The following is a 21,473-nucleotide window of genomic DNA, read 5'->3' as shown; positions in this document are numbered from 1 at the left end:
AGAAGAGGAGCAGGAGGAAAAAGAAGAGGAAGAAGAACAGCAACAACAATGAGTGAAGGAGGAGGAGGGTAAGGAAAGATGCATAGGAGAATGGAAGGAAGGATAGAAAGGAGGGAAGGAAGAGAGAATCTAGTCACATTACTTTCTGATCAGCAGTTCATTTTTGTCTCAGTGGGAGGCAATAGAGGCCAGTCTAGGAAAGGGGTGGGGAAAGAGGAAAGAGAAGTGCAGGAGGAAGGGGAGGGAAAAGGGGAGGAGGAGGAGGATGTGAGACTGGGTTAGAGAAATGAAAGAAAGCAAGGCTTTCTGTTGACATTCAGTGCAGTCTACCTGCAGCACAGCACACTCCCTTTGGGCAAGGACCTGAGACCCTTGTGCTAAGTCAAGAGGCTCAATGGGCTGCAGAAGAACTAGAGAAGGACCAAGCAAAGCCATGGTGAGCCTTTCAGCCTAAAAGACGTTTAGATGCTCAGATAGAAACTCTTGGGGTTGTAGAGGCAGGTGGCAAGGATAGGAATCACCCCATTTCAATTCTGGTTTTAAATAATATAGAAACTAAACATTTTCTCAGACCCTCAAAAAAAGTGATCCTGAAATCTTTCTTCTCAGATATGCTGATTTCCTCTTCTTGACTTTGTCTCTGGGGAGACTCTTGAAGAAATACTATTGAAATCAGATCTTTTGCAATAAACACTGTGTCTACCTGAGAAGTGATATGCTTTGGAAGATAGAATTTTTTTAAAATTATACTTTAAGTTCTAGGGTACATGTGCACAACATACAGGTTTGTCACACATGTATACATGTGCCATGTTGGTGTGCTGCACCCATTAACTCGTCATTTACATTAAGTATATTTTAAGGTGTGCAGGAAATTTGTGACTTTGTCATTTCAGTTGCTCAAAAAGGTATTTCTTTTTATTAAAAAAAGAAATACTTTTCTTTCCTGGTGTCTGGCTATCTAATTTTTTTTTTTTTTAGGTATTTGAGGCATTGACCCATTATGATCAAGAGTGAGGCTATAACATTAAATATAAGCATCAATAGTTAATTAAGCAGCAACAATACTTTAAAAAATATACATAGTAAATATTAAATAGTTTTATCTAATAGCTCAGCAGAAAAGCAGGTATAAAAATTACCAAACCATAGAAAAAATTCAGGGCAGTACCGATTAGCAACTTGAGACTAAAGCGTAAAAATAAAATAGAACAAAACAAAACTGTGCATCAGTTCTGATGTAAATTTGAAGTAATTTTTCATCTATGTCTGAGAAACCTGTTACCTCAGACAGGGTTAGTAGACATATGTGTTTTATTCTGATTATTAAGAAAGTTGTAAGCACCACCTCAAAGGCTATAAATGTGTGGTTTAAGAGTATACATCTAAATATAATTTTGTATTTCATTTGCAGATATTTCCATGGAAATGTCAGAGCACCCAGAGGGACTTATGGAACATCTTCAAGTTGTGGGGGTGGACAATGCTCTGTTGTGGTATGTTATGATATTTATATATCGCTAAGTCTATTTTACTTATATTCATTTTTCTTAAATATCCACTAGTTATACATAGTCTAAGGGAAAATTATTTCACAGAGCTGTTAATTCTATCCCTTCTGTAAACATCTCTTTTCTTCTTACCTTTAGTTCTTCCCCAGAAACTCCTGAACACTATTTTTAACCTATAATAGCCCATGCTGTAGAGTTCAAATCCCAATAACCCCACAAAATCCCTCAATTATAAAGGAATAATGTTAATTAAGAAATCTCTGTTAAGGTACTTACAATCTGTACCAAATATTTAGCACCTCATTTTCTATTTTTTATTCATAGTTCAGTGTACATTAATGTCATTTCTACAATTACAATACGAGCTTATTAAGGGACGGGGGTTTATCATTTTTTGGTCCTTCTCCCATTGTTGTGACAAATTTTATATCTGATTCTTGAAGACTCTCCAGCAATAGCTTTGAACTTGGTTTTTCATTTCCTAAGTAAACTAATGTCTTCTTTCTCCCTAGCCTGGATTTTCAGCTCTAGCCAAGCAAACATGCTAACTCTCCCGTTCACACATTCCTTATGCCATGTCTGCACTGTGTCACATAGAAACTTAGTGCTCTTTTCATACAACAGGTATTTTCTGAGTCCCTACAATGTGTGAAATTTATGCTAGGCACTAAGGATACAGCAGTGGACACAACAGTTTTTTCCCTCTTAGAACTTGCATTCTAGTGGAATGCTCATTCAAAACTCTGTTCAAAATGTTTATTTTATGATGCTCTTTACCATCAATTATATCTGTTTCTTTACTGTATTAAATAGTGATTCATGTAGATCATACCATGCTTAGAATGCCATATATTATTATGAAGTCATTGTGTAATTATGTGTTTAATTAGATATCTTCAAAGCCCTCATATTTGATGGGTCCATATGTTTATTAAACATCATCAGTTGAGTCTCTTTGTGTATAGAACATGATCTAATGAATTTCATAATCCTATACCATTTGGCTTTGTAAATTGTTCTTTTTAAAAATTATACAGTTAGATATATAAGAGTTGAGTGGTATATTGGGCTTTTCCAGAAGCAGTTCTTCCTATGGTAAAATAAAATGTTTTTTATGTAAAAGAGGTTACTTAAAAGTATGTCACTGTTCTTCCTGTCCTTATTATGCTTCTCCCATAGGTACATATGTGTTGGCCTTCAAGAAATGATTCCAGGATTAAAAAGTATACGTAAATTGTATAGTTATATGATATTACACGGTAATTAGTTGTAAATCATTAACAGCTACAAAGAAAAAGAAATATGAATGTCTAAAATATGTTGGTTAAATTTCACCTGAAATAATTTTGAGAAAAAAATTAATAAGAAAATAAACCTAGAAAACCACTAAATTTGTTTCAAATAGAACCTTAGATAAAAGCATCTTATATTCAAGCCAGAAGGTCTAGGTTCTACTTCAAATCTGCAAACAACTATTCTGTGATCCTGAGATGGTCACATACACTCTTAGGCTCTGTTTCCTCATCTCTAAGTGTCTAGCTCAGCCTGGAGTAGTGCTAGGTTCTTTTTAGCTGTAACATTATGTAAGTCTGCATAGGTCACACTGATGTCTTGCAGATTTCCTGGCACATCATGGAACCGACTGCTGGACTTACCATTATTCTGAAAAACCCATGAACTGGCAAAGGGCTAGAAGATTCTGCCGAGACAATTACACAGATTTAGTTGCCATACAAAACAAGGCGGAAATTGAGTATCTGGAGAAGACTCTGCCTTTCAGTCGTTCTTACTACTGGATAGGAATCCGGAAGATAGGAGGAATATGGACGTGGGTGGGAACCAACAAATCTCTTACTGAAGAAGCAGAGAACTGGGGAGATGGTGAGCCCAACAACAAGAAGAACAAGGAGGACTGCGTGGAGATCTATATCAAGAGAAACAAAGATGCAGGCAAATGGAACGATGACGCCTGCCACAAACTAAAGGCAGCCCTCTGTTACACAGGTAGGGAGTGACAAGACGGCTATGCTGCCTCAGACTCAGGAAGGGCCACGGTTAAGAGAATACTCAGATTTACCCCATGGAAAGGTGGGGGGATGAGAACAGCTTCTGGTTCATTCTAAAATACATCTAGCCCTCTATATAATCTTGCATCGTGTCACTCCTAAGAATTTTTGGTGTGTAAGATTTGTCCCTGTGCACAAAAGCTATACCCCTAAATCAAGTTACATCAAAATGATAGATCTACGTAGGAAGTACAGAGGAAGAGCTAGACAATCAGTGCCTTTGATAATAAGGCAGGGGAGGAGAAGCTGACAGCTGGGGCCAGTTGGAAACTTAGGCTCACATCACCTCAGTTTTCACATTGTGAAGTAGAGAGTGTGGTGCTGCGTGCTTCCTTCTTGGTCTAACCTTATATAATTTTATATAAAAATTGCACTATCTTTGGTGTATGAATATTTCTGTAAAATCTTCTACAATTCCAAAACAGCCAGCATTTTCCAAGTGATGTTTTAATAATGAACCATAGTTAATTTGGTCTCTTATAAATTGGACTCTACCGTTTTAGCAAATTTGGACTTTTTAATCTTTGATTTCTATAAAGAAAGGGATTGCCAAGAAATAATTGCATGCAGAAATGATTGAGGTCAGGTCATCATTTAACCTTCTCACTCATTAAAAACAAGTAATTTCAAGAGTTTCAAGGTATGCCACTAAGTTTCCTATAAGTGTTACAGAATATTAGTATTGGTAATTTCATTCCAAAAGCAAATAAATGCCTATGACTATATGCTTAGTGTATTTTATACGTAAAAATTTTAGCATATGATTTTTATGCTATGAATTTACAAATAAACCTTTCCTGATTATTTAAATCATCTCAGACAAAAGGTTATCTATGTCTAAAGAAATGACTTTGAGTACTAAAATGTAATCACATTAAAATATTTTTTTTCTGACCTCCTTAAAGCTTCTTGCCAGCCCTGGTCATGCAGTGGCCATGGAGAATGTGTAGAAATCATCAATAATTACACCTGCAACTGTGATGTGGGGTACTATGGGCCCCAGTGTCAGTTTGGTAAGTCTCTTTCCTTTCTTTGCTTCTTCTTAGGTAAAGTCACAGGAATCATTATAGCTTATCATGAAGCTGGTTGGAACAAAATGATACTAGCCACTCTGAGAAATGGGAAGTTTTGATCAGAAAGCTCTGCTTTCACAATATTGTTACCTTTCCGTAAAGATTTCATAAGTCAGCATGAAGTTTCGACTCACTTCTCAACAAGTCTTTTTGAGTACCACAAGAAGCACAGTGTTGGGATAAAAGCTGTCAGGGTTACCATAAGGAATTAGCATGGTAGATTCCCGCTCTCAAGAAGCTCACGATCTAATGAGCTTGTTAGATTAATTAGAACTCTAAGGTCTGGAAGAAACTATGCCATTTATCATTAGGAGGCTGAGTTACCCAGAAAGTATCTTGCTTTTTCCTTCTAGTAGTTCCTTTCCTTCTTGCAGTTCTCCACACTTAACACATGTGCTCTGTAGCACACTGACTTTGCTGGTGGCCTTCTCTCTCATTTTGCACATGGCCAAAAAACATGTCATCTTTAAGACATTGTTCAAAGACAGTTTCTTCTAGGAAGCTTTCTTAGTTCTGATAGCTCCACATATTTCTTCCTCATTTCTCCCACTTATGTTGAAGTCATCTGTTCACTTGTCCGTCTCCTCTGGTACTGAAAACTTCTTGAGATCAGTAAGTGTCCTATTTATCATTGCATCTTTGGGATCCACAAAATGCCTGTATATATGAGGCACTTGCTTGTGAGCCTGAATTGAATTGGACAATTTAATTTTTTAAAAAAGCAATGTTTGTAAACAATAAAGAATTAAAACCAAAATACATTTAAATGTCAACCAACTGAAATAGATCTATAGATCTAACTCATTTCACTTGATCCCTGGGCCATGACTCCTTCCTAATACTTTACCCTCACCCCATTTTTGAACTCTATTTTTTAACCCTTATGTTATTGGTATGCCTATTTTACTCATTTTTAATTATTGGTATGCCTATTTCACTCATTTTTAACATTTTACTTTTCTTTGTCTTGGTTTCTCTCATATCACTCTTTTCTCATTCTTTCTACCTGTGATCATTTCTCCTGAGATCCTTCATGAGCACTTATCCAGGACCATAAACTACTATAATTTCTCAGCTTTTGTCTTTTGTATATTGCTCTTCTGACTCTAATCTACATGTATCCTTTGGTCAAACTTACTGACTTTTGCGGACTCACAAATCTATGTGATCTTTGGACTGATAAGCCTATCTCCAGCTCTGAACTCAAATATGCTAAGGATGTCCTTTGGGATGTTTAAAAGACTATAAAACCAATTGTTCCCAGTCAGCTTTTCTCTTCGTATTTCTTATCTCAGTATGTGGAATCACCATTTACATGGGCACCCTGGTATGAGACTCTCTTAACTCCCCCAACATTTATGCAGGGTAACATTCTACCAATTTTTACAACTTAGTGTTTTTCTAATTTGTCTTCCACTTGTCAACTCTACTACCATTGCCGTCATTATCTTTCTTCTAGATTCTTGCAATAGTTTATTAGATGAGTTCCACAATTTTAAATTAGCTCCCCTCAAATACATTATTCATACTACAGGGAGACTGATCAATTAAAAGCAATTAAAACACATCACACATACATGACAATCCACCCATTAATTTCTACCTACCATTTTGTCCTACAGGGTGAAATCTAAGCTCTTCAAGCCCCAGAGTAATGCTTGATATATAATAGATACTCTTTAAATCAATGAAAAAAGATAACATTTTCTCTTAGTTCCCATGTTTCTCCCTAATCTCATCTCATATAGTTTCCAAATACAAAAATTCTTCTGATTCCTTGAGTCCATTCTTCCTTGAAGTCTCTAGAGCAAGGTAGCAATAATGGCTTAAATTTGACAGATGAGGAATAAGACATGAAAGTTGTACTGTTTACTAAATGGCATGGCAGGGTCTAAAATGTGAAAACTTTGATTTCCAAGTCTTAAATTTACCTATTGTACCACCAATCAGAACAGGGAAATAGATACAGTTTCTGGAGAGGGTTGTCAAAATCAAAAGAGTTAAAATTCTGGAACTGAGCTAGAATAGAAGACAGAATTGAGGTCAAAATGCTTCCTAGACTTTTATATTCTCTCCTTGCAAAGAAGGCTTATTATGGAGACCCACTCTTTCTCTGAACATCTTGCTCCCAATACTCTAGTAGACTCAGGGGCTCTGATGTGATAGTTATTTCCCGACTAAGCTGGTCATTCCCAGTTACACCTATTTGGCTTTAAGGATTCTCACTACAGATAATGCTGAAGATAATAATATGAAGACTAGCTAATGTTTACTTAGAATTTCTGATGAGTCAGGCTTTGTTCTAAGGTCCTTGACTTATGCTAATTGAATTACATTTAGTTTCCATATCAATTTGATAAAGATAACACAATTTCATTATTCCTCTTATATAGATGAAGAAACTGAAGTTGGAGGGTTCAAGTAACCTTGTTTAAAGGCACATGGTTATCAAGTGGCAGGGCTAGGATTCAAATCCAGGCGTCAGTTCCTCTTAACTCTTCCCCATACTGTTTCTTTCCCTATTGAAGTGATTCAGTGTGAGCCTTTGGAGGCCCCAGAGCTGGGTACCATGGACTGTACTCACCCTTTGGGAAACTTCAGCTTCAGCTCACAGTGTGCCTTCAGCTGCTCTGAAGGAACAAACTTAACTGGGATTGAAGAAACCACCTGTGGACCATTTGGAAACTGGTCATCTCCAGAACCAACCTGTCAAGGTGAGTAACTTCAGACTAGAGGTTTTGTCATGCAATCCTGGGCTTACAGTCAGAACATTCAGTAGAAGTTTGCTGAGAAGTCAAACTTAGGAGCCTAATTTAACCTAACTTTGTTTAACCTACTGTGATGTTTCTCAAAGGACTTATTCTAACTAAATTTTTTTGAAAAACCTCCCAAACAAAAAGTAAAAACCAAATACCCCTGAAGCCATCTCCCAGTGTGTAACATGACTTATAGCAATACAGCATGGTTATACTGTGTTTTTTATTTTTCTCATTGCCATTGCATAAATAATGTCTTGTTGAACCTCAGTTACATTTTGGTTCTTCTCCTCTCAATAACACCTGTTTTATGTGGTGTCCTACTTAATACCAACCAGTTTCCTTCCCAGGGTAGTGGAGGTCTTTCTTGGTTGTTTTATTTGGCTTATTCTTAAAATCACTTTTACTTTTCCTCATGCATAAACTTTTAGGAGAATAACAACTGAAAAACAAAAACACAATCTCTTGATCTTTTCAAGTTTGAAATAAGGTAGGTTTTTTTTTTTTTTTCATTTTTAACTGCCAACCTTATCTCCATATGGGAGAAAACCAATGTCATCTGAACTTACGAAGTTTTGGTTAACTTTTCTACAAGTATGCTCCTGATGCATTAGTTTAAGTAGTTTAATTCTTAGAAGTGCTATCAAAATCCCTTATTGAAATTATAAAACTGTCAACCCACCTACTGGAATTTACGGAAGTTGGACTTGCTTCAGTGAATTGGGATGTTTTTCAAAATGCTTGGGTAGATATCAGAACAGATGAAACGGCAGAGATTCTCTGAGAATATCCCATAAGAGCCCTTGATGCAGAGGCCATATGGCATGGTACTTCCAGCAGAAGGGGAGGGTCACCTTAGCTAGGGCAGCAGCCTGGAGTAGCTACTCCTCTCCCCACAGCTTTCAATGCTTCCTTGCCTTCATCTCTCATTCACCACCCACCATCATTCTCAAGAAAATAAAGCCTGGAAGCAATATCACAAGTAATGTAGTCAGGCAGCTTTGGCTAAAAATCCTTTGCTCAAGGGAGGGTCTCTACTCAGAAATACTGTTTTGTCTTTTTTTTTTTTTTCTTTTTCATTGAAGTGATTCAGTGTGAGCCTCTATCAGCACCAGATTTGGGGATCATGAACTGTAGCCATCCCCTGGCCAGCTTCAGCTTTACCTCTGCATGTACCTTCATCTGCTCAGAAGGAACTGAGTTAATTGGGAAGAAGAAAACCATTTGTGAATCATCTGGAATCTGGTCAAATCCTAGTCCAATATGTCAAAGTGAGTAAGTTTGTCCTGGAAAACTGAAATCTTAACGATGGAGCTGATGGATGAGCAGATATGAGGAAAGACATACATAAACATTTACATGTTGTTTTGCTAAGAATATGTGGCCTAGAAATAAATTTGTATGCTTAACTCACTGTAAAATCTTTGGCTGGTCTTTCCTCCTCCTTTAATGACAATCATTTCCTTTTTTTGTTCTCACCTCTTGCCATCTTAACTCCTAAAATCTGAACTCACTGATTTACTTTTTACCCATTCTTCTATTCCACTACAATCTAACATCTCTGTTAGCCCATTGAAATGCCTGTAAAAGGTCACTAATGACCACCTACTTCCCCAAATAATGGATACTCCTGAATCATCACTAAGCTAATGCCTCCAAAATCTATCTGTATATGAGAAGAATCATGTCTTGTTCATCTTTGTATACCCTCCACCTGACACAGTGCCTGGCAATAGGTGCTAAAGCAAATGCATGTTAAGCTAGCATGTGAAAGAATAGCTACCTGTGTCTGCTCCTGAGACTATCTGCATGGATGACAAAAGTCTTTAAATGGTAGGATCTACAGAAGCTGTCAGAAATGCTGATCTCTGTGTGCTGCGTGCCCAGGGCCAGGGAGTAGAGTGGATGAGCAGAGAGAGGCAGGGAGGCCTTTAGCAGAGGACTGTGTATTAGGCCTATCAGAGACATTTCCCTTTAAGGCCTAGCTAGTGTTCATTTCCTCCTCATCTTCATCAAGCCAACAGGTACCTTCTGTCTGGAGCTCCTGGGAACTTGAGCCTTCTCTCAATCATATATTTGGGTGTGGGGATCAAATCACCTTGAAAAGGTTCATCAAAGTAATGGGAAGAACTAAGGATAGAATCAGACCCTCTGCCAATATGTAAAAAAGTAGATTCCTTCAAATGTTAGTATCAGGAGACAGATTTTTTTTTATACCAGTATTTTCAAATAGAGGCTCCCAAATGAACTTAGTTTACACTTACAAGAGTATCTCTAAACATGCCCTTTTACTTATTCGTGAAGGAAGTAGAGGGAAGTGGTAACTACTGCATTGGAAAGAAATTAGTGCAGGTCCTTGGCATGTAAAAATCAAGTGCTTATTTTTGCACAACTGCTTTAAAGTAAAAGCATTAATGATTTCCTTTGACTGGTGAATTATCCAGTTCAGATCATTGGCTTTTATTTTTCCTGAAGTTGTATTAGGCTTTTAGCTCTTCTCTGTGTTTCAGAGTTCCAGTCATTGAACAAGTCCATGGAGCTAAATACAACGATGACCATTCTTGCCAACATTTTTAGGTGCATTTTCAGGAACTCTATGAACCACAAATCTGGGCATTGAGATTCTGTAGGCATTAGACTAGCAAGGCTGGTCCAGTCTTTGCCTATGCTGTAGACTCATCAGGGGCCTTCCCATGCCAGTTTCCTCATCTGTCAAATGGCATCAAATGGGCTACTACTGGGAGATGTAAGGAGGAAAAAAGTCAAATATCATGAGATAGACTAAGGAAATAATGCTGGTGGTCTCATGCTATGTGCCTTACTGATTTCTCTTTCAGAATTGGACAAAAGTTTCTCAATGATTAAGGAGGGTGATTATAACCCCCTCTTCATTCCAGTGGCAGTCATGGTTACTGCATTCTCTGGGTTGGCATTTATCATTTGGCTGGCAAGGAGATTAAAAAAAGGTATGTGAGTTTAACTTCACATGAAAAGAACACAACTTTAAAGTGAAAAAGAAAAAAAAAAGAAACCCACAGGAAATTAAATGTGATAGATTCAACACAAGCAGGATGCCAAGCTTTACATTCTAGAGCCATCAGTCCCTGGAGACATGTAAATCAGCCCAGGACACACCTTCATTAAAACAGGTTGGCTGATTTTCGCTTTTCATCTGATAAACTTTTAAAAATGTCTATTACCTTCAAGGCAGCTTGCTAGGCTGATAACAACTAAGTGAGATATTCTAATGGTTCTTTGCTCTTATGTAATTCTTTAATACTTTTTTTTTTTTGAGACAGAGCCTCACTCTGTCACCAGGCTAGAGTGCAGTGGTGCAATTTCAGCTCACTGCAACCTCCGCCTTCTGGGTTCAAGCTATTCTCCCACCTCAGCCTCCCAAGTAGCTGGGACTACAGGAGCGTGCCACCATGCCCAGCTAATTTTTTGTATTTTTAGTAGACACGGGGTTTCACTGTGTTAGCCAGAGTGGTCTCGATCTCCTGACCTCGTGATCTGCCTGCCTTGGCCTCCCAAAGGGCTTGGATTACAGGTGTGAGCCACCACGCCTGGCCTGCTCTTAATTAATTCTGAAAAAATGACACACTATCTCTGTCCTCTAAGAGCCTACATGCCTTGGATTTCAATGCTACAATTCCACTAGGAAGTGGGTCTAATGTCCACTAAGGTTTCAAGGCACTGCTCCCAAATACCTGACCTCTTCAAGAGTCACCTGGTTCCCAACACATGGGCATTGCATTAACCCTGGGAGAAATTCCCATGTATTCTCCCAAGTATCTATTCACCAAGGCCACAGCTCTAACCAAATGCACCATATATGCTTTCCAACCATCCGTCACTGGAGAGGAAAAGAGAAGGAGGACTGCCTTGAGAAGTTAACATCTGCTGCCCAGATTATCACTCCCTTTACCTTAAGGCATGAGTGTGTCTCAGCTTTAAAGTGTGAGCAACCCACTAGCCTGCAGCAGGCCTTGGGTGTATGGTGCCACATTTGGCCAAACTCACCTGGAAGAACCATTCAAGGCTGTAACATTCATGGACATTGGGCAGCTTTTAAGATATACCTGTTTTGGCCAGGTGTGGTGGCTCATGCCTGTAATCCCAGCACTTTGGGAGGCCGAGGCGGGCGGATCATGAGCTCAGCAGTTCAAGACCAGCCTGGCCAACATGGTGAAACCCTGTCTCTACTAAAAATACAAAAATTAGCCAGGCGTGGTGGCGGGCACCTGTAATCCCAGCTACTCGGGAGGCTGAGACAGAAGAATCACTTGAACCCGGGAGGCGGAGGTTGCAGTGAGCTGAGACCGCACCATTGCACTCCAGCCTGGTGACAGAGTGAGACTCTGTCTCAAAAAAAAAAAAAAAAAAGATATACCTGTTTCAAGTTCAGGGATGATCTCGAAACAATTGCTAACCAACTGCTCTGTGTTGCCTTTCTGTGGGCTCAGTTGATTGTCATTTTAATTTTCCTTCCATCAAATTAGTTAGTACGTATTCTGTTCACTGAATATGGTATGTAAAGGTTGCCCCCTGTCCATTTACACTGGCAATTACAAAAATATTATTTATCAGTCCCTAATTGCGTGCCACTCTGATCTTATCTTTCATTTAAATTTGAGAATAGTGGGCGCTAGGTAAGTTTTCTAACCAATCCAGAAAGACAAAGTGTGTGAGGGGGGTGGGGATTGTTGATATGCAAGAACTTCATTAGCTATGTATAACCTGAGAGCACTGAGCAGTTAAAATGTCTCTGCCCTTGCTATTAGAAATTCTGTGCTGATTGAATCTCACTATCTTATAGTATTATACAGTACTAAGTACTATACAGTACTAAGTATAAGTATCAAGTACTGCATTAAGGCAAAAGAAGAATGACAGTTTTCTCCAACCACTGATTATTCTTTCCATTGAGACTTCAAATCTTGACCCCGGTTGTCCTGTCTTTCTTCCTACCTTGGGCGATGATGGCAGAACTGACGGATAGAGAACAGGGTGGGTTATTACACACTGCCCCCTGGGATAAGGTGGCTATTGTCTAAATAATTTTAAGGACTTTGGGGCTGTAAGTCACCTTAATAAGGAAGCTATTTATTTCCGAATTCTAAAATCTTTTAATAAGTGTTTGTAGAATCAAAAGAATAGAATCAAACTCATTTGCATGTAGTGAGGGGTTAGCTGGCTAAGGCTGTTTTATAAGCAAGGGTAAAAAAATTAGAGGGGTTGTTTTTAAATTTTTTACCTTGGAGTCATTTCTGTACAAGATCTCAAACCGATAACTTGAAAACTGCTGTGGGAATCAGTGTGGGGCAAACAGGAAACAGATAACGGGCAGTTAGGCTAGTTACAGTTATGCCAACAAAGAAAACAGAAGCCCCAAAAGATCACTGGCTTGGTAGGAAGCTTAGGGTATCTTTAAGATAACATTAAATAGTCTTCATCTGTGGGCCAGGCACCTTGGCTGTCACCTCTAATCCCAGCACTTTTGGAGGCTGAGGCAGGAGGATTACTTGAGCCCACGAGTTCAAGACCAGCCTGGGCAACATGGCGAAACCACATCTCTACAAAAATACAAAAAATTAGTCAGGCATGGTAGCATGCACATGTAGTCCCAGCTACCCAGGAGACTGAGGTGGGAGGATCACTTGAACCCAGGAGGTCAAGGCTGCAGTAAGCCATGACAGCACCACTGCACTCCACAACAGAGTGAGGCCCTGTCTCAAAAAAAAAAAAAAAAAAAGTCTTCATTTATAAAACAACATCTTCCATTTTCACCAACTTACAAATGATTCTGCTTTCCAAAGATTTTAGTTGTAGGTTGGTCCTTTAAAACATGAAGAGTATTTTTCCTATGGAGGCAATGGTAGAAATAATGGCTACATTCCCAGGCTAAATCTAAGACAAAATATAGTTAATGGCATTTACAAGGATAAAAGTAAAAAGTCATAAATCTCTATGTGTGTGTTTAGGTGTGTGTGTGTGTCTATGTGTGTGTGTATATGTATATATATACACAGAGAGAGAGAGAGAGAGAGAGAGAATTTATAGGCTTTTTGGGTTCTAATAGTTAGAAAAAGGGCACAGGTAACTATTTAGAGCATGGTAGCCAATGAAGTGACTAGAGCCTTCACCCCTATTCTTCTGTCCTCAGATGAATCTTCTGACTCTAGCACTTTGTCCCCTGCCCTAGTAGTCTTAGTATGGAGACTTTCCCTCCTTTCTTTTAGGAAAGGAATAAGGAACAGTTCCAGAAACATGTGTCCTTGTGCATGGGCTCATCTAGACACATTTTGTGCACCAGGCATTATCATTTTCTGATTAGTCACTACCATTGGCCCTGTTTGGTAAATAAGGAAACCAGGGCAATGATGTTTTAGGCCAAATCTCAAAAATACCATATCAGCAGGACCCAGAGTCAGAGATTAGACTCCAGTCCAGATACATCTTCTAAAATCACTGGTCTTCAGATTTGTGAACTGGTTTTTTCCTCGGTTGGAAGAATTTCCCACCAGAACCAACACACAGGGTTAGACCAGGGCATGAAACTGAACACATGCCCCCTTAGTTCCTTTTTCTTCAAAATGAAACTCTCTCAGTAGGAACAGATTCTTACTCATCTATTGCTGTTAGGTTCATCATCCCTAAAAAAAATATTTATGTGAAGCTAACCAGAATCTGAAATTAATTCAGATTTGATTCCCCCTGCTCAAGTGCACTTGGTCATCAGCAGGCTGAATTTTAGAAGAAAAGATTTCAAATAGTAGTCTTTAATACTTTAAAGGATTAAAACAGTAATGCAACACTGTCTACGTGCTAGGACCTGAACTAAATACTTGGAAATATTTTATTTTATCAACCCAATGAGGATGATACAATTATTATGCCTCTTTAACAGATGAAGAAATTGTAGTTTAGAAAAGAAAGTAGCTGTTCAAATACACACTACACTACAGGTGGCAAAATAGGGCTTTCACCTGGGTAGGATGATTCTAGAATGCCACTTTACAGCCACTGAAATATATTGCCTCCCAAATGATTCTTTCTGCTCAAAGAGTTTTTTTTAAGTTATCTACTTATTTATATTCTGCTTTTTTCAAAAAGAATGTGAGAACAGTACAAAATGTGTTCAGTATAGCAAATTAAAATTAATTAAAAAGTAAGAAAAAGAAGCCAATTTGGGCAACCCACTCGGGTCCCCTTCCACGCTGTGGAAGCTTTGTTGTTTCGCTCTTCGCAATAATAAATGAGCTTGATGTTTTATTGAGTACAAAAAAAAAAAAAAGAAAGCCAAATTTAAACTTAGGGTACAAAAATCATTTGGAACCAAGGTTGAAGTTATGGCACAAAAATGTATGTCACAAAGTTTTATATACTTGGTAGGAGAGGGTCTCAGATCTAGCTCTGAGTTTCCTTACAGCCAGTCAAAGGAGAACCATGTGATATTCCTTGTGTTTGTAAGATAAAAACACATTAGTTACTCAGATGAGGCTGCACAATTCCTACCAACAAGACCAAAGTGAAATTCTCTTGTGGATTCTCATAGAGATGATGCTGTGAGCTGTAATGGCACATAGTTTTACAGTATTAGCAGCTGTCCCTCAAGGGAAGAATCTGCAGGTAGGATGAGATGGCAGATTGGGAAGGGATAAACACTTGAATGGACATATTGGGTCTTGCCACCAGGCAATTTAGCAATTCTGTCTTCTTGAGTAGCACGGAGAATGGAATGGAACCTCAGGAGGCATCTGCATCAACATGTCTGTTCTGTATTAGTGTCTACCACTGTTTATTAAGCCAGTTCCTCAAATCTCCTTTGACACAGATAGGGTCCACCTAACAAATACCTAATATACTTCAAAAGACAGTTTTGAGAGTGGGAGTCTTCCTTCTCCCTTACTTGAAAAACTTTAAATTGTCTAATTTTTGCTAATGCCTTTTCTCTATTTTCTATTTTCAGGCAAGAAATCCAAGAGAAGGTAAGTTTTATTAGTGGCGAGGAGTTTCCACATCTGCTGATTCATTCTCTACTTCCTTAAGTTACTTCCTGCTCTAGCTAGACACATTAACCCCATAGTAGTTTATTTACCTGGGGTCCTCATCCAAATGACCAGATAAGGTGATAAATCTACTAGCTTCCTTTCAGAGCTGTGCTTTTTGGTGCTAGTGGAGCTGAATGAATGAATGAACGAACAAGTAATCCCTATTAGAAAAGGGCAGTTTATGTAAAGGGAGATTTTTCTGATTACCTCAGAATTTTTTCTGAGGGTTAAAAACATTGTGGTGTGTTCTTCTTGTTCTTAAATATATTATTTAAGAAATATTCAATTGAACAAGCACTTATTGAGAAATGAATAAATGCTTATTCAATTGACTATTTGCATTCAATTGCTCTAACAGGCATTGTCCTTCAGAAATGTGGGAAAGATAGGGAGCATGAATTCTACCTACAGCTTCCCCAAGGAGGCAAGTATTTTTCAGTTTGGTCTTGAAGCTCAAATTTCTTCTACTGGAGAAATAGCACAGTGGGAGGAGATGCAGACATGTGAAAGTTGATGGCCCACCTGGCAGAAATGAAGATGGAAAAATATTTCTCAGTATCTAGGGTTTAGTGACTTGCTCTGGAATTTTAGGAAGGAGAGTTTAAGTAAAATAAACTATGAAAGGAGGACTTTGGTGACATATTCAGTACCCAGCTGGACAACTGAGCTTCCTTTAAAATGCTAGAAATGAAGTGAGATGATTTCTGAAGGGATTGGATGCTGGTTTGGGCAACCATCCTACCAATCACAAACTTAGTATGGGCCATTGCTTAGAATGCAAAGGAAAAAGTGGGGAAAAATGAGGCACCAGAAGCCAGATCATAAACTAATGTATAAGCCATGTGATATGGGCTTTATCTTGAGGTCTTTTGGGATATCACTAAAGGGGTTTAAACAGTGAGTAGCCTTACCTCTGGCATCTTATAAGGTCACCCTGCAGAGCAGTATGGCAAGTGTGGGAGACAGGTGAGCCTGGATTCAAAGAGACTTGTTTTGGAGGCATTTGCAGTTATTAGATTAAAACCGATGGCGCCTGTCTAGGGAACTAGTAGTAAGAATGGGTTCATGAAATAAGAGGAGGTGATATTAACTGAATGTGTCTGTTAATTGGCTAAAAGTGAGAGAGAAGAATCAAATTATCATCTTTCTCACCTGGAAACTGGCGGATGGTAGTCCTGTTTACTTCTGAGAAGGGAACATAAAAGAATGAGAGGTTTTGGAGGTAAAGATCATGGGTTCAGTTTTGTACTGAGCTTTGGGTGTATGCACATCATTCACTGTGGCTCATTGGACCTATCCAAAGCACAGAGGCTATGGCAGGAGAAGTGGATTTGGGTCCCTCACATTTCAGGAGGTAACTGCCATCTCAGGAGTGGGTACTATCATCCAGGGAGGGTGTGAGTGCTTTAAGAATGGAAGAGGACCTGGGAGAGAGTATGGGAGCCAGAGGAACATCATTATCTAATAAGTCACCTAAGGGAAAGAGAAATGAAAAGATGTTGCCAGGCAGGGAGAAGGAAGAGGAGAAAGAGTGTGGGGTAATGAATGCCAAGGAAACAAAGAAAGGGGAACGGTTTCAAACATTGCCAAGAGAACCAGTAAGTATCCCCTGGATGCAACAAGGGTGTCAGTGGGGAGACTATTTGCAGTGCAGACATCAAGACAGAGGTCAGACGGCCAAGCATTGAGCATTACTGAGGATGAGAAAGTAGAGACAGAACAAGCAGTCATCTCTTTTAAAATGTTTGGCTGTGAAGGAGAAGTGGGGCAGGGGTAACTGGATGAGGATGTACGATCAGTGGAGGTTCTTTTTATTCTTTTTAATTACTCTGTCTTCTCTTTACTAGTGCAAATGGAGTCTAGTGAGGAAAGGCTTCTTTCTCTGGGCTGGTCTCCCTATGTCTGTGGCAGGAAACCCACAGATGTGAAGATTTCTTTCAAACTCGCACCTACTGAGTGAAAGTATTTTCTGGCACAATCTACCCAGAGCTGTTTTCTGGCTACCGGAACCACCTGTTTTAATTGCCACTAGATGGAAGCAGATCAACTAGATTTTTTTTTTTTAAGATGTCCTTGAGGCACAGGAGGAGAGACTGGCTGGAAGAATATTAGCAAAAAGCTAATTACCATGCTAAGCAAATTGCTATATTAAGTTTAATGGTTCACTGATTTTTTATAATCAGTCAATTAATAGTTGTTTATTGAACATTTTTGTGTTGGAAACTGCTAAGCTTTCTTGAGACAGCAAGAGGAGTCAGCCTGGTCCCTGATTTCAGGAAAATTATTACCTAGCTGGGGAGTTAAGACAGGAATATAGAAAGAAAAAAATCAGAAAAATACAAGGCAGAGCATGGTAATGGCCAATGGGTGCTATATTTAAGAAGGAAAAGGTCATTTGGCTTGGTGGTTATAGAAAATGTTATAAAGAAGGTTGCTTATGAAGAATAGATAGGATTTAGGTATATGGAGAAAAGCAGGAAAGGAAGGCAGTCTGTAGGAAGGAAATTGTGTAAGCAGTGGTATGGTAGTGAGACTATGAAAGCATTTTTCAGGGGCCACTGAGCAGAACTTTCTTGAGCCCATGGCTTATTGAGGAGTTGTGGAGTTGAAGTTGGAAAGGAAGGCTGGCCCCAATAACATAAGTCTTGAATGCTTCACCAGATGGTCTAGAAAGGCCTAGCAAAGAAGAATTATTTGCCCAGCTCTCATTTATTGACCAAGGCTGTATTAATTCATAAGAATCACAGAATTCTAGGTCTGAATATGATCTTGGTGGATATCACATTCAAACTCTTTTTGTAGTTGAACTAATTAAGTAAGTTTTCTATAGGCCTTGAGCAAGTGACAGAGTTAGTTACAATAATCATAAACCTTTATCAAATATTAATTCCATGTTGTATACTGTTATGAATGGTTTACATGTCTTAAATCATGAAATATGCCTTTAAGTCTGTGGGAGAAGGGTCTATGAACATCTTCATTACTGATAAAGAAACAGGCACAGAGAAATAAAATAGCCTGAGGTCACAATAAATGGCAATGCTGAGATCCATACTCATTTGGATCCAGGAATCATGCTCTTAACGCGTATGCTTTTAGAACTCAAGACCCTTGACTACCAGCTTAGAGTGGCAAGTCCCAGGCACCCTCCTTTTCCAGTAACGTGGTTTTTTTTTTCACACTGAAACCATTGTGTGACGGCACTGAGGAAGGGTGGGGTAGAAGTATGGTGTGTTTTTAGAACAAGTCAAAGGTAAAATGAATACTATCACACTAAACACCATGAGCCTTTTTTTTTTTTTTTAAGTTCTTGGGTGAATTTTCATAGTAGTTTGTGTTCATTTCTATTAGCTTTTGAATGGTGAATGAATGACTCCTTGGGCATTTGTGGTTTCATTTCTTGCTGGGTTATTTTGACTCTTCTGCAAAATGACTCTGTTTATCACCTCATTTGGTTTCTACTGTCTAAATTCTGGCAGGATAGAAGCTACACCCAAGATACACAGGAAGATATGATGCCAACCTCAGAGGAGGGCATATGTGAAATTTTGTTTTCAGAAACATTTTTTTGTCTCTATTTTGGCAAGCACATTTGCAGCTGCTGAACTGTGGTTTACCCTGACAGTTCATCATGAGACCAGCTCCTCAGAATCTGGTTCTCCCTTTGAAAGGTGCTGTGAAGACATACCATATTTCATTCTCTCCTTGTCCTTTCCAAGAATAAGACAGTTGTGTCACACAAAAAAAGTGTCACTTATTTCTTTAAACTAAATGTGTTACCATCTCATTAAATTATATCCCAGGATATAATTTATCACGAGTTTATAACCACCACTATTTCATGAGTTTAAATTTTCTCCAATTTCACTTTCCATTTAAGCATGCCTTCTAATTCCTTGACTTTCCACTGCTCAAAATCAATCTACAGCTGGGCTCGGTGGCTCACGCCTGTAATCCCAGCACTTTCGGAGGCCGTGGCAGGTGGATCATGAGGTCAGGAGTTTGAGATTAGCTTGGCCAATGTGGTGAAACCCCATCTCTACTAAAAATACAAAAATTAGCTGGGTGTGCTGGCACGTGCCTGTATTCCCAGCTACTCAGGAAGTTGAGGCGGAAGAATCGCTTGAACCCAGGAGGCCGTGGTTGCATGAGCTGCCTCCGTGCCACTGCACTCCGGACTGGGCAACAGAGTGAGACTCCATCTCAAAAATAAATAAATAAATAAATTAAATTAAATTAAATTAAAATAAACATAAATTTAAAAAATCAATCTACACTGTCCTTCAGACTCATTAGATCTGGAGACAAAGACCGTATGCACCACAAAAATTTCTCCAAGTGGGGTCTGTGCGCCAGTGGCATAAGCATCACTAAAGAGCTTGTTAGGGGTGCAGAATCTCAGGCTCCACTCAGACCTACTGAATCAGAGTCTGCATTTTAACACCATCTCTGAGTGGTAAGCACATGAAAATCTGAGAAGTGCTGCTACTAGGGTTTGCTTACATTTGTTCATCTTCAGAGGTTCCTAAAGCCTGGCCTCTTGTCTGAGATTTCCAGCTGAAAGCATTTCCTTGCTCCTCTTCTCATCTCTAATGAATATTTACCTTTACTACTAACACTCCAAGTTTTGCAATTTTTAAACTCTTATTATCTTTTGTTTTTCTTTCAGTATGAATGACCCATATTAAATCGCCCTTGGTGAAAGAAAATTCTTGGAATACTAAAAATCATGAGATCCTTTAAATCCTTCCATGAAACGTTTTGTGTGGTGGCACCTCCTACGTCAAACATGAAGTGTGTTTCCTTCAGTGCATCTGGGAAGATTTCTACCTGACCAACAGTTCCTTCAGCTTCCATTTCGCCCCTCATTTATCCCTCAACCCCCAGCCCACAGGTGTTTATACAGCTCAGCTTTTTGTCTTTTCTGAGGAGAAACAAATAAGACCATAAAGGGAAAGGATTCATGTGGAATATAAAGATGGCTGACTTTGCTCTTTCTTGACTCTTGTTTTCAGTTTCAATTCAGTGCTGTACTTGATGACAGACACTTCTAAATGAAGTGCAAATTTGATACATATGTGAATATGGACTCAGTTTTCTTGCAGATCAAATTTCACGTCGTCTTCTGTATACTGTGGAGGTACACTCTTATAGAAAGTTCAAAAAGTCTACGCTCTCCTTTCTTTCTAACTCCAGTGAAGTAATGGGGTCCTGCTCAAGTTGAAAGAGTCCTATTTGCACTGTAGCCTCGCCGTCTGTGAATTGGACCATCCTATTTAACTGGCTTCAGCCTCCCCACCTTCTTCAGCCACCTCTCTTTTTCAGTTGGCTGACTTCCACACCTAGCATCTCATGAGTGCCAAGCAAAAGGAGAGAAGAGAGAAATAGCCTGCGCTGTTTTTTAGTTTGGGGGTTTTGCTGTTTCCTTTTATGAGACCCATTCCTATTTCTTATAGTCAATGTTTCTTTTATCACGATATTATTAGTAAGAAAACATCACTGAAATGCTAGCTGCAAGTGACATCTCTTTGATGTCATATGGAAGAGTTAAAACAGGTGGAGAAATTCCTTGATTCACAATGAAATGCTCTCCTTTCCCCTGCCCCCAGACCTTTTATCCACTTACCTAGATTCTACATATTCTTTAAATTTCATCTCAGGCCTCCCTCAACCCCACCACTTCTTTTATAACTAGTCCTTTACTAATCCAACCCATGATGAGCTCCTCTTCCTGGCTTCTTACTGAAAGGTTACCCTGTAACATGCAATTTTGCATTTGAATAAAGCCTGCTTTTTAAGTGTTAACTAGTTTGCCTAGTTTGTTATTTTGAAATTATCATATGTTTTGTTTTCTCCCCAGTGAGATTACATGCTCCTTCAGGGCAGAGTTTGTGTCAGATCCCTGGAGTATCTAGTGCATTACTTGACACTCAATAAATGAATGTTCAAATAAATCAGAAAGAGCATACAGTGCACTGCTGATATAAGTTTCAGCAAACCCTCTTTCTCTATG

At 38.9% G+C, this 21,473-nt stretch overlaps 1 protein-coding gene across 2 annotated transcripts, besides 1 other annotated feature; it reads left to right on the top strand.

Moving 5' to 3' along the window:
• Nucleotides 312–21,265, top strand: SELL (selectin L). Of its 2 annotated transcripts, NM_000655.5 has the most exons (9): nt 312–436; nt 1,415–1,496; nt 3,129–3,515; nt 4,483–4,590; nt 7,179–7,364; nt 8,492–8,677; nt 10,244–10,372; nt 15,379–15,397; nt 20,130–21,265. In NM_000655.5, the coding sequence occupies exons 1-9, from the start codon at nt 434–436 to the stop codon at nt 20,146–20,148; spliced, it is 1,119 nt and encodes a 372-aa protein (NP_000646.3). In that variant the 5' UTR covers nt 312–433; the 3' UTR covers nt 20,149–21,265. The 2 variants fall into 2 exon arrangements, 1 of the variants encoding a protein (NP_000646.3); NR_029467.2 differs by lacking the exons at nt 312–436; nt 1,415–1,496 and having other exon boundaries at nt 3,075–3,515.
• Nucleotides 15,011–15,060: an enhancer, noted in NCBI's record as "active region_2078". NCBI's record gives its function as "activates an Ori minimal core promoter by ATAC-STARR-seq in GM12878 lymphoblastoid cells {active_cell/tissue: GM12878}" and the evidence as "EXISTENCE:reporter gene assay evidence [ECO:0000049][PMID:35858748]".

The sequence above is a fragment of the Homo sapiens genome, chromosome 1 (genome assembly GCF_000001405.40).
Source record: "Homo sapiens chromosome 1, GRCh38.p14 Primary Assembly".
Taxonomy (NCBI): domain Eukaryota; kingdom Metazoa; phylum Chordata; class Mammalia; order Primates; family Hominidae; genus Homo; species Homo sapiens.
The sequence above is the reverse complement of the archived record's forward strand: the minus strand, read 5'-3'. Positions and strand labels throughout refer to the sequence as shown.

Bases quoted from the DNA above. Each gene is read 5' to 3' on its own strand.
- SELL (NM_000655.5), top strand. The intron at 1,497-3,128 runs GTATGTTATGAT...GATGTCTTGCAG, and splicing joins GTGGACAATGCTCTGTTGTG to ATTTCCTGGCACATCATGGA. The intron at 4,591-7,178 runs GTAAGTCTCTTT...TCCCTATTGAAG, and splicing joins TGGGCCCCAGTGTCAGTTTG to TGATTCAGTGTGAGCCTTTG.